The following is a 13,268-nucleotide window of genomic DNA, read 5'->3' on the forward strand; positions in this document are numbered from 1 at the left end:
ACCTGGCTGAAAGAGGGTATTCTGATAAGATGAAGAAAAATGACAGATGCTTTGTTCGCAGAGCAATCTAGTGAAGTTATGCTGCGGGAAATGATACATTTTACTAAGAGAATGAATGGTTTGGTAAATGTTTCACTCATGGGTGGGTGGGGGGAACTAAAACCATCTCCCTAACACACAAACCACCTCCACTTCCACTGAAAGAAAAACCAGAAAGAATCGTTTGGTGAGAGCCTGGAACAGGGATGCAAATGGAAAAAAGGCCACGGGGACTGGGGTAGGAGTTGGGCACGGGGTGTATGGGGGAGAGGAGAGAACAACGAGAAACCAGAGAGGGAGATTTGCTGAGCTGGTCTCTATACCATGCTTGAGGCTCTGACTGCAGTTGATTGTCTAATGACGAGGCTTCCTCTTCCTGCCCTTATATTATTTATTTATTTATTTATTTATTTGAGATAGCGTCTCGCTCTGTCACCCAGGCTGGAGTACAGTGGTGCGATCTGGGCTCACTGCAACCTCTATCTCCTGGATTCAAGTGATTCTCCTGCCTCAGTCTTTGGAGTAGCTGGGACTACAGGCGTTCGCCACCACAGCTGGATAATTTTTGTACTTTAAGTAGACAAGGGTTTCACCATGTTGTCCAGGCTGGTCTGGAACTCCTGACCTCAAGTGATCCACCCACCTCAGCCTCCCAAAGTTCTGGGATTACAGATGTAAGCCACCGCGCCAGGCCTGCCCTTTTAAATAGTAAGGGTTATACTTACCTGTGGCTTAAATTGGTACTAATTACTTCTTTTTTATTTTTTTATTTTTTCTTGTTAGATTAAGAGATGATTTATTTGAATGGGAAAGGAATAGAATAAGAAGACACTTTTATTATCACCATGACCATATAGAAGGAGGACATATTTTTAAATAATATGAGTGGAGCCAGTTAAGAAGCAACGTTTCTTCTAGCAGATTTACTATTACCCCCTCCCCCAGATTGTCTTCCCACGTTAGGCCCAAAATTCTACTTAGAATGACTGGCTTTACATTCCATTTAGTCCTGAGGTAATGTCTCCAAAAGTATACTGAATTTTGAATTTAGAGAAAATGATAACAGACATGGATGTCTTCATTTTTATTCATTTTTTAGAGATGGAGTTTCATTCTGTTGCCCCAGCTAGAGTGCAGTGGCACGAATGCAGCCCACTCTGCCTCAAACTCCTGGGCTCTAATTACTTCTGAGTATGATCCAGATGTCTCTTGGTGGAGCCACATTAAGAGGCAGGCCACGGATGTTGCAGTGAGCCGAGATCGCGCCACTGCACTCCGGCTTGGGCGACAGAGCAAGACTCCGTCTCTAAAAAAAGAAAGGCAGGGCAGTGTGGCAGCTGCCTGGGGCGAGCCTTTGGGATTAATCAGAAAGGTGCTGCCAGTGACCTCAGGTTTCCACCTGGGCTTCCTCACATAAGGGGTGAGATGTAAACGATCCCTATCCCACCAGAGTGGGCGATGCCCTCGAGTGGAAATTTTAAAATACCGTTCACTGGCCCCAAAGGGTTTCTGTGGAGTGTTTTCACAGAAAACGCATACATCGCAAAGTGCGGCCATGGGCTTGGCAGCAACTTCAACGCAGCCGGCGACTCTGATGTGCTTCCCTGAAGTCAGCAGCTGCAGTCAGCTGAAATTACAAAAGCAAATCACACCAGGGGATGCTGCTCACACCAGAAGGAGAGATTTATTTTGTTGCCTAATATTTAAACAGTTTAAAATCCTCACAATAAACTGTCTAGTTCAGAAAAGAGGATGTAACAAATGCATGCAATAAATCCCTCATTTTTAATGAAAGGGAATATATTTAGTTTTTATTAACAGAACATCTGTTTCTCTCCATCTCCACTTAATAAGTGTTCAAAGAATGTTGGTTTGAAGGGGCACCCGCATCTCCCAGTCCTCCAGCCCTGGCCTTAATAGCCTGTGAGTGCAAACGAGGCCATGTTATCACTGATGCCCAACCACAAAGTGCTTTGCAGCACCCCAGGCGCACAGCCGCGCCCTCCCCAGCATCTCTGCACTGGCCTCCCTGTGCCCAGCAAGCCTCCCTGTCCGAGCCTCCTCCACAGCCAGCCACTTCCCACGTGCTCCCTCATAAGGGGCCCAGCACTGCCGTGGATTCTGGAACCATGCAGCACTCGAGGCCTCTGCTGATGCCGTGGGCCAGCTGGTCCATGCTGGGGGCACCCAGAGCCCCTGGGCCGTGAAACAACTTTCTGTAGAGATCTGGAGGTAGAGGAACAGAGGGACAAGGGCCCTGGGCAGCTCCATACCACCCACTGTCACTTGGACTTTGAGGGGCAGAGAGGTGTCCAGAGTGTCCCCACATCCTTCAGCTTCTGGCCTGACACCTGTCTTCATGAGGATCCTCAACCTGTTTCCCAGGCTGGGCCAGGAGATAGCCCCTCCATTCCCTCCCTTCTCCTCTCCCACTTCCTCTCTCTCCTTCCTGGATTTTCCTCTTTGCTGGTGTGTGCATGCACACACACACACTGCAGGCATGCCACCACACCCAGCTAATTTTTGTATTTTTAGTAGAGACGGGGTTTCACCATGTTGACCAGCTGGTCTCGAACTCCTGGGCTCAAGTGATCCACCCGCCTTGGCCTCCCAAGCCCATGAGCTCAGAGGTTTTTTGCCCACTTAATTCACTATTATATCCTTAATGCCCATAACAGTGCCTAGCACATAATAGATGCTCAGTAAGTTTTGTAGACCAATTGAACAAAAAGTGAATAAAAGAAATGCTCATGATTCCTCCTTCCACATAAGAGCCCAAGCCCCTCTATGTATCATTTCAGATAAACAGAACCCATGGGGTCCCCAGTCCATCAGCTCTACAGGTTGGGCTCAGCTGGGAAACCTGCTATAGGGGATACTGCTGTTATCAGCACGCCCTGGCCTCACCAGCTGGGGTCTGCCCAATGGGCACAAGTCTGAGGGCTCCAATTCCCATTCCACTCAACTCCAGGAAGCCCAGCCTTCCGCAGTACTCCTGGGACCCACTGGGCCCTACTGACCTGTTCCCTTGGGTCATCCTTGTGCCCTGTGCCTCTGCCTCTACTGCCCACTTGGCTCTCTCCTCCTACTGCCCCCTCTGTCGCAACCTATCCCAGCCTCCTACAGCCCCACCCTCTTCCTCCCTGGCACTGGCTCAGACCCTTCCACAATAGGAGGAGACAAGGTTCTAACTACTAAGGACTGCTGTAAGTTTGAGGCTAGAGGAAGAAAACAGAAGATAGAAAAACGCATGCGACAGCTTCTCAATGAACCTGAGCTCATCCTCCAGGACTGCTGACATCTCCTTGAACACCCCAGCCAGCTGTTACGGGCAGGGCAGCCGCCCTCAAGTATAGGATTTCTCCTTTGCCATCACTCTTCCCTCAGGTCCTACTGCTCCCCCTCAGCCCCTCCGTCTGCAGCCCCTTGAGCCTTCCTTCTCTTCCAAGAATGCACCGGACTCACTGCGCCACAGGACCTGTGCTTGTCCTGGGATGCACACCCCCAGAACCTGTCCTGGTCATGGCTTTCTGTCCTCCTGTTGCCACAGGGGGGCTTCTCTGAGCACACCATCTACAATAGCCACTGAGCCCTTCTCTATCGCTTCAGCCTCTTTATGATCCTCACAGCGTCTGCCGCTATCTGCGTCTCTCTGACTCATTCATTTCTGCTTATGTCCTTCTCTCTTTGGTAGACTGTTCTGTCCTATATCCCAGTGCTTAGAATAGTGCTTGGCCCAGGCACAGTGGCTCAGGCATATAATCCCAGCATTTTGGGAGACTAGGATGGAAGGATCTCTTAAGGCCGGGAGTTCAAGGCCAGCGTGGTCAAAATAGTGAAACTCCGTCTCCACAAAGAAATGTTTTAATTAGCTGGGCCAGCGGCATGTACCTGTAGTCCTGGCTACACAAGAGTTGAGGTAGTATCGCTTGAGCCCAGGAGTTCGAGACTGCAGTGAGCTATAATTCTTGCACTGTATTCCAGCCTGGGTGACAGAGAGAGACCTTGTCTCAAAAAAATTAATTGTTTTAAAAGAATAGTAACTGGCACATAGTAGGTGCTCAGTTCAAATCCACTGGGTGATGAAAGCTGAATATCCTCTCTACTTGGAGTCCTGGGCAAACAACAACCCAGTCCTGAGAGAGGAGAGGCTTTCCTTCCTCCTAGCTTTAGGTTCACCTCCCAGTTTCTGATATTTCATGATGGGACCTAGCTCTTCCCAGAATGCCTGGTGGTGGAACTGCTGCCCCTCCTCAAGGATCAACAGGGATGTGGCCCTGAGCCCCAGTCAACCTGGACAGAACTCCCCAACATCAAGACGCTTCATGGCGATGGTCATCCAGGGTTGAAGACCACTCTGTGGAGGGCATCAGCTGTCCAGTCAAAGTTAATCCCTGGCCAATCCAGGCCAGTTTCTTTTCAGTGAGTCAAAGTGAAAACTGAGTCAGGCCTATGTGGGCTTCCTCAGAGCCCCAGCAATTCTGAGAAGCAAATAATTAGTATGGAGGTCTGGTTCTGCACAGCATGACCCCTTACCATGGGGGAACAGACCACTTACTTCGTCACAGGATGACACTGGATGGTCAATGACTCAAGGGTACTCTCCAGGAAGGATGGGGGGAACTTGCTTCTCGTCCATGTAACTCATTCCCCTCCTGGTGCTTTGCCCAGAATATGAATCAGCCTTGGCACAAGGTGAATTCAAGAGTCCACTGCAGTTGCTTACACTTATTTTTTATTTTTATTTTTTTCAGAGACAGGCTGTCACTCTGTCACCCAGGCTGGAGTGCAGTGGTATGGTCATAGCTCACTGCAGCCTCAAACTCCTGGGTTGAAGCGATCCTTCTGCCCCAGCCTCCTGAGTAGCTGGAACTGTAGGTACGCACACCACGCCCAGCTAATTTTGTTTTCTTTTTTGGTAGAGACAAGGTCTTGCTATGTTACCCAGACTGGTCTCGAATTCTTGGCTTCAAGCAATCTTCCCACCTTTGCCTCCCAAAGTGTTGGGATTATAGGCATGAGCAACTGCGCTGGGCCTGCTTCCACTTTTCAAAAGGCAATGTTTCCAGATCTAGCCCTCCAGGTTTCCAAAGCCCCCCGGGGCCCTGGGCATTCTGTTCTCAGAGTGCTTTCTCCTGCATTATCTCCTCTGATGCACAAACACCGGGGAGGCTTGATTAACTGGGAATGGCTTTAGTTGTTTTAGCCTCTCTATGATAATTTTTAAAATGTTAGAAGCACAGCAGATGACTCTTGAAGTGTTTCACAATCAGAAATCAAAGCAGGGGGGAACCTTTTAAAATCAGGACAGACCAAGAGTGGAACAAGTGCCTCACGTATGGGTAAGTGCGCTGATGGGGAAGTAGGGGGCACATGCACTGGGAATCGGGCACGTGTGGTCAGCCCTGCCTGGAGGAGCGAAGGGACCTTGAGCTGCACTCAAATGAGATTGTGCATGCCTGGTAACAGCTGATGAGTGGTTCAGAGGTTGTCCAGGCCTGTGCTCTGCCACCTGATACTATTTTCATGCAGAAGCTTCTGTCTTCAGAGCCTTTGACCTCAGAATATTGTATCACAGTAACCAGGAAAAAAGCCAAAAAGTGTGGAATGTAGAACGTTAAGAATAGGAAGCTCCAACGTGGCCAACGTGGCAAAGCCCCATCTCTACAAAAAATACAAAAATTAGCCAGGCGGGGTGGCACACGCCTGTAACTCCAGCTACTTGGGAGGCTGAGGTGGGAGGATCGTTTGAGCCCAGGAGGTGGAGGTTGCAGTGAACTGAGATCATGCCACTGCACTCCAGCCTGAGCGATGGAGCGAGACCTTGCCTCAAAAAAAAAAAAAAGTAATTACGTTTTCTCCTTTTCAAAGTTTCAAGTAGACATGATAATTGTGAATATGTAACACTTGGCTGGGAGCACCTGGCAGACAGGTGGCACAGACATGGCTCTCTGGATATTGTCCTTGGTCTCCCCTGATTCCTATCCCAACAAAATACCCCTGAAATGGCCATCCGAAAACGGGGAAGACTTGCAACAGAACTGAAAACTAGCCATCCACACCAAGGAAACTGGAGGAACTTCAACCGGACTGTGACTATGGGGCCAAATGGAAGGCATCACTGAGAGAAAACAAGCCGTCACCCTGTGTGTTCAGGTCAAAGCAGGAAGGCTGGGCACTGTGGCTCACGCCTGTAATCCCAGCACTTTGCGAGGCCATGGCAGGTGGATCACCTGAGGTCAGGATTTCGAGACCAGCCTGGCCAATATGGTGAAACTCCGTCTCTACAAAAATACAAAAATTAGCCAGGTATGATGGCGGGTGCCTGTAATCCCAGCTATTCAAGAGGCTGAGGCGGGAGAATTGCTTGAACCTGGGAGGTGGAGGTTGCAATGAGCTGAGATTGCGCCACTGTACTCCAGCCTGGGCAATAGAGCAAGACTCTGTCTCAAAACAGACAAACAAAAAAACAGGAGATGCCAGCTACCCCAGGGAGTCCCCTGCACTCAAGGGCAAGGACTAGAGGCCAGGGTGGCTGGAGGGATGATGAGGCAAGGGCGCCCCCAAGCTTCCTTCCACTCCGTATCCCCGCAGTTTTCAGACCGCCCCAAGTGCACTGTGGGTGCACTTTTCCAGGCAAAGTAAAGCTCACAGGATCTGGGGAAAGATTCTGCAGCTTGAAAGATAAACATCCCTGAAGGTTTGGAGGAAGCTGCCTCTCTGTGGGGGAGCGAATTTACTACAGCACAAGTTTAAAAAAAAATCTGAATATTTAATTCAAATTCTCAATAAGATTCCATGGGGTGCTGGAAAAGATCTAGAAACTAGAAAAGATCCTAATAAAGAGGGAGACATCTGAGAGCAGGAAGTGTAGCAAGGAGACAGAAACCACAATAGCTCTGGTGGGAAACCATGATGGAGGCTGTAAATAGCAGACAAGACACGGAGAAAATAAAATTAACATGACGAAGGGCAAAATGATAAAAAGACGAAAAGAAAGAGGCAGGCGGTCAGACACGGGGGATATAACCTGGGAATAATCGGAATTCTGGAGAGAACAAAACAGACATAGGGAAAGCAGTATTCAAAGAAATGGGAGGGGAAAAGTTTCCTGCTGTAAAGAAAGAACTCAACTGGAAACTGAGAGCATGTTCTGACTTCCCAGCAAAGTTAATGAAAAGAGGGCCCCGCTTAGACACACTATGATGGAATTCTCAAAGTTAAAAAAGTTAAGAAAATTGCCGGAACATACACACAGACACACAGACACACCCTTGAAATAGGAAACTGAAAGGGAAGAGAGATTTTACTTTACTTCTTTTTCTTTTTCTTTTTCTTTTTTTTTTTTTTGAGACAGGGTCTTGCTCTGTTGCCCAGGCTGGTGTGCAAAGTTGCGATCTCGGCTCACTGCAACCTCTGCCTCCCAGGTTAAAGTGATTCTCATGCCTCCCCAGTAGCTGGGATTACAGTCATGTGCCACAACACACAGCTAACTTTTGTATTTTTTTGTAGAGAAAGGAGTTTGCCATGTTGCCCAGGCTGGCCTTGGACTCTTGGCTCAAGTGACCTGCCCGTAAAGTGCTGGGATTACAGGCATGAGCCACCATGGTTGGCCAGAGATTTTACTTTTCTATCTTTAGTTCTCTTGGATTTTTTTTTTTTTTTTTTTTTTGAGACGGAGTCTCGCTCTCTTGCCCAGGCTGGAGTGCACTGGCATGATCTCGGCTCACTGCAACCTCCGCCTCCCAGGTTCAAGCGATTCTCCTGCCTCAGCCTCCTGAGTAGCTGGGATTACAGGCATGCGCCACCATGCCCCGCTAATTTTTGTATTTTTAGTAGAGACAGGATTTCACCATGTTGGCCAGGATGGTCTTGATCTCTTGACCTTGTGATCCACCCGCCTCAGCCTCCCAAAGTGCTGGGATTACAGGTATGAGCCACCGCGCCTGGTCATATTTTTTTTAAAAAGTTTTTAAAACAAATTTAAATGCAGGAAGGGGCAGTGATAAATAAGGATCTTACAAACAAATGGGAAAAAATAACAGAGAGCTTAAATTAAAATGATCTCAGACTTCCCTTGAGCCCAAGAGTTCGAGGCTGCTGTGAGCTATCCCTCCTGAATAGTCTTCTTGAATAAATCACTGTCTTCTCAAGACTACAGCATGCAAAAGAAGAAAATGTCAATTTCTTTTTATCTCAAGTCATCATTAGAAATACATTGTACTTTTAGACCAGGCGTGCTGGGATTACAGGCGTGAGCCACTGTGTGGAGCTTTGTTTTTCTTGTTTTTCTGAGACAGGGTCTTGCTCTGTCACCCAGGCTGGAGTGCAGTGGCATGATCATAGCTCACAGCAGCCTCAAACCCTTGGGCTCAAGTGATTCTCCCACCTTAGCCTCCCAAGTAGCTGGGACTACAGGTGCACATCACCATGCTCGACTAACTTATTTTTTTTTATTTTTCATTGAGACAGGGTCTTACTCTGTCGTTCAGGCTGGAATGCAGTGACACAACCATGGCTCACTGCAGCCTCCACCTCCCAGACTCAAGCAATCCTCCCTGCTCAGCCTCCTGAGTAGCTGGGACTACAGGCATGCACCACCACACCTGGCCAATTTTTTTTTTTTTTTTTTTTTTTTTTAGTAGAGACAACCAGGCTGGTCTCAAAATCCTAAGCTCAAGCAATCCGTCTGCCTTGGCCTCCCAAAGTGCTAGGATTATAGGTGTAAGTCACCATGTCCCACCCCCATTCTATGTTTTTTAAAATGTAGCCATAATCCTTTAAATTGAGTGGGTTGTGACCTGTAGTTTGAACTACACTGATCTAGAAAAACCTAAAGGATAGGCCATGTTGTCATTCATGTATGAAGGCAACAAAAAGACCTCAGGTGTGGAAGTTATTTTTAAAAGAATCCCTCCTGAATACTCTTCTTTAATAAATCACTTGAAGATGTATGCCAGGACAGTAGAGAAAAAATCAGATGTAAATACTCAAGAATGAGAAAAATATCTAGCTTGAAGCACCTGCTTAGAGGTTTAGGGGAAGGAGAGTTTTCATGTCTTCTCAAGACTACAGATTGCTAGCACCTTTTTGCAATGTTCTGGCAATATCTTTTAAAAGAGAAATGTACATACCCATCTCACTCTTGGAAATCTATCATACAAAAATAAAGACACCAGTATATCAGGTGATATGAACTAAGATGCTTCTTGAAGCCATATGTGTAGGGGCAAAATAACTAGCAATGACCTCAATGCCCAATAACAGGTGAATGGCTTAATAAATTATGGTGTATCTATACTAAAGTAATAAACATTATGTAGCTATTATGTATTAACCTGGAGGGGTATCCATGATAAAATGATGATTTATTTAAAAACACAGTGTTGGGTAATTTCTGTATCATCTTACTTCTGTAAAACATGGAGTGGAAACCTACCAAAGGGTTGACATCTGCATATATTTATATGAGCAGAGAGAAGAATGTGGAAGCAACAAAGCAAACGGGCCAGGCTGGTTAATTCTAAGTAGAGAGCAGAGGGGAAAGAAAGGGAGATCATTGGCTGTTCTGAAACAGTTTTTAATTAATTCGTTGCCTTATTTTTGAAATTTTTGAACTATTTCTTTTGAGACAGGGCCTTGCTCTGTCACCCAGGCTGGAGTGCAGTGGTGTGATCATGGTTCACTGCAGCCTCACTCCCCTGAGCTCAAGCAATCCTCCCACCTCAGCCTCCTGAGTAGCTGGGACTACCGACGGTAGTCCCACATCTGGCTAATTTTGGTATTTTTAATACAGATGGGGTTTTGCCATGTTGCTCAGGCTGGTCTCAAACTCCTGGGCTCAAGCTATCTGCCTGCCTCAGGAAGTAATTTTTTAAATTATCTACTTGGCAAAGGGCATTGAACAAGTTAATATATATGCATTACTCTAAATATTTTTAAATAGTCTCAAAACTGAAGATTAAAAAAAAGAGAGATTATTCCCTTAAAAGAAATTAGCTACATTATAAACCAAAATGACAAAGTTCATAACCCCAGATGAACTTTTAACAAGTGAGAATGATCCTTGTTCACATAGTAGAGAGAGAAAAGAAGTGGGGATGAATAGGGAGAAACTAATTTTCTACAATGGGAAATAAAAATTATAGTTCTATGAGGACTGTGATCATTGAATATCTGTGAAGGCTAAAGCAACTCCATATTGGAGGCTAAGCCGCCATGATGACTTCTGATTAGCCCCAATTCTGGGAATTCCTCTAAGCTTTCCAGTCTATCTATTGTTACCTGTGTAAGAACAGGTACTTACCTCCCTTAGGTCAAAACAACTTTGATGTTATCATACTTCAATTGTCCTTCACCTGCCTTCTGGATCACATATACCCCTTCCCTGTGGTAGATAAGCCCTGGGTCTTAGGGGGTAACATCTTGTCTCCCTGCCAGCCACTGCACAAGACACAGACCTGGCTTCTGTTTCTAATTTCCTATTGTTTATTTCTAAGAAACTGAATTTGTCAGCCTTTTTCTTCAGTCTCTCAGTTTCCTTGGACTTTGGCGACAGGTTTGCACAGGCCTACCCACTGAGGAACAATGTCACATTAAAATTATCTGAAAAGTTGTAAGTAAACACAAGTAGAATTTTAAAAAGAATTCTAGAGCTAGCACAGTGGTGCACACCTGTAGTCCCAGCTACTTGGGTGGCTGAAGAGGGAGGATCACCTGAGTCCAGGAATTCAAGGCCAGCCTGGGCAATATAGTAAGATGCTCCTTGTCTAAAAAAAGAAAAAAAAATTTTTTTAAAGAATTCTAATTCTTGCTTTCTAAATTATTAAGGAAGATTATAGCAGACGAACAGTCTATATAGCCCTGAAAGGAAAATTAACAGCAAAATGCGTTTAAGGCCTAAAACTCAGGCGCAGTATTAAATGCTGATACTGACTTTATATGCGGTGAAATTGGGAGGCTTTGACTGGCCTAGCCACAAGTTCACCTCCTCACTCTGCTCCCTTGGATAAGGTCCCCCAGCCAAATAACCCCCCTTATCAAGGGGACCAGGAGCACTTCCTGCTTATTCCTGAGTAGTGGGTTTCAGTTTCCTGCCAGCCTGCAGCCTGCATAATTATCCACATAAGCCAGTCACATCTTCCTGCTGAAACTAGGGGACATCTCATCCTCTTGATACTACAAAGCCTGCCTCCCACAGCCCTTAGTTGCTCACTGTCTCTGAGCGCAACCCCTGTGTGGCCCTGCATGGTGTGTGATATCCTGCCCTGGGCTATGAGTATATGTGACTAATACACTACTGTCAATCTCATCTGCCCAGAATCAAATGTCGTGTGTTTGGCCATCTCTGTAAACCTAGGATGGGAATCCCTCCCTCACCAATGGAGTGAATAGCACAGAAAATATTAAGGAAAGCCATTAAGTAAGTTGATAAAAGCTGTACCAACCCTGGTACTGCTGGAAGAGAAAAAGGAGAATAGAAGATTTTACCAATCCAACAGAATATAGTAAAGGGAAAAAAAGTGGAGAAAGAAGGCAGTGAGCAGAAAATGTGGAATAATCATAATCAAAGAAAATCCAAATAATCCATTAATGGCACTAAATGTAAACTGATTAAAGAAACAGTAAAACTTAGAGTATCAGATTGAGTTTTAAAAATCAAAATCCTCTTGTATGTTACTAATATTTTCCTTGAATTCTGAAATAATCTCAGCTATCATAGCTTCAATATTATTTCCTTGCCATTTTCCTTATTTTCTTACTCTGGAAATCCTGTTATACATAGTTTGAGTCTCTCAATCTATTCTCCTACTCTTCAAACTGTTCTTATTTTTAATCAAAGTACCTCTTTTTGCTGCATTCACTGTCAATTCTTTAGAGCTATCTTCCAATTCACTAATTTTATCTTCAACTATATCCAGTCTAAAGTTCACCCTATCTTTTGAGATATTTTTATTGCTTTTCTACATTTTTATTTCTGAGATGTATAATTATTTATATTTCATATGTATATCTTCATTTCATTTTCATCTACATTTGTTTCATAATTTCTTGTTTGTCAGATGATTTCTTCATTTACTTCTTTGAGCCATCCTTATTTTCAAGTCTTTGTCATATGAGTCCAAGAGATGAATTTCATGTGGAGAAAGTTCATATTCCAGTTGTTGAATTGCTTGGCTATCTTTTTTATCATTCCATTTCTTCATGTCCTTTGGAATTTGGGTTTACAGGCTCATTGTAGCTGAGAATTTTTGTTTTTGCATTGTGCTTTTTACTCTCTCCTTTTTTGTCTGGTGGGTTTAGTTTCGTCATGGCATTCACTGTGCCCTAGTCCAGAAATAGTTTTGTGATAGTGGTTGGGAACTCATGCTCTTCACTGATATTGGGAGATGTGCAGACCCAGAGTTAGAGGATGGCTTGACCTAAGTCTGGGTTGTGAGGCTGTTTTTGTTCTGCAGCCTTCCTAGGTCCACCATTTGGGCCATAGCTCCTGAGATCTGGTCAGCTGCACTTTTTGTTTTCAGTCTCCTTTCACAAGCAGGGTAGCCTCACTCTAGTCTGTGGCTGCTGCCAGAGTCTGGTTCCATCCCCCATTCCCTGTGCAACATTTTAGTTCCCATTACCCCATAGGCCCTTGGCTTTGGTCCTACTCACCACTTTGCTTTCCAGTTTGTTCTCTTTCTTATCCACCTAAATGTTTATCCTGTTTTTAAGCTTGTATATATCTTATCAATGCCTTTAAAAACTTTATCTCTCATTGTTAAGTATTTGGAGAATAGAGAGTGGGTCAAAGTATGAACTTTCCAACCTTCCCCTCATTATTTTATTTATTAATTTATTTCTTTTTTGAGACCGAACCTAGCTCTGTCACCCAGGCTGGAGTGCAGCGGCCTGATCTTGGCTCACTGCAACCTCCACCGCCCGGGTTCAATTCTTCTACCTCAGCCTCCTGAGTAGCTGGGATTACAGGCACGTGCCACCATGCCCAGCTAATTTTTGAATTTTTAGTAGAGACAGGGTTTCACCATGTTGGCCAGGCTGGTCTCAAATTCCTGACCTCAAATGATCCACCCCCACTTGGCCTCCCAAGTGCTGGGATTACAGGTGTGAGCCACCACACCTGGCCTCATTAATGTTTCAGTCACTTGGAATGGAGTGGAGACAGAGTTTCTACTTCTCACAGTGGAAATATACTAGCCAATAGAATCTGGGGGTGAAAGAGCTGAGCA

The sequence above is a fragment of the Homo sapiens genome, chromosome 17 (assembly GCF_000001405.40).
Source record: "Homo sapiens chromosome 17, GRCh38.p14 Primary Assembly".
NCBI lineage: Eukaryota > Metazoa > Chordata > Mammalia > Primates > Hominidae > Homo > Homo sapiens.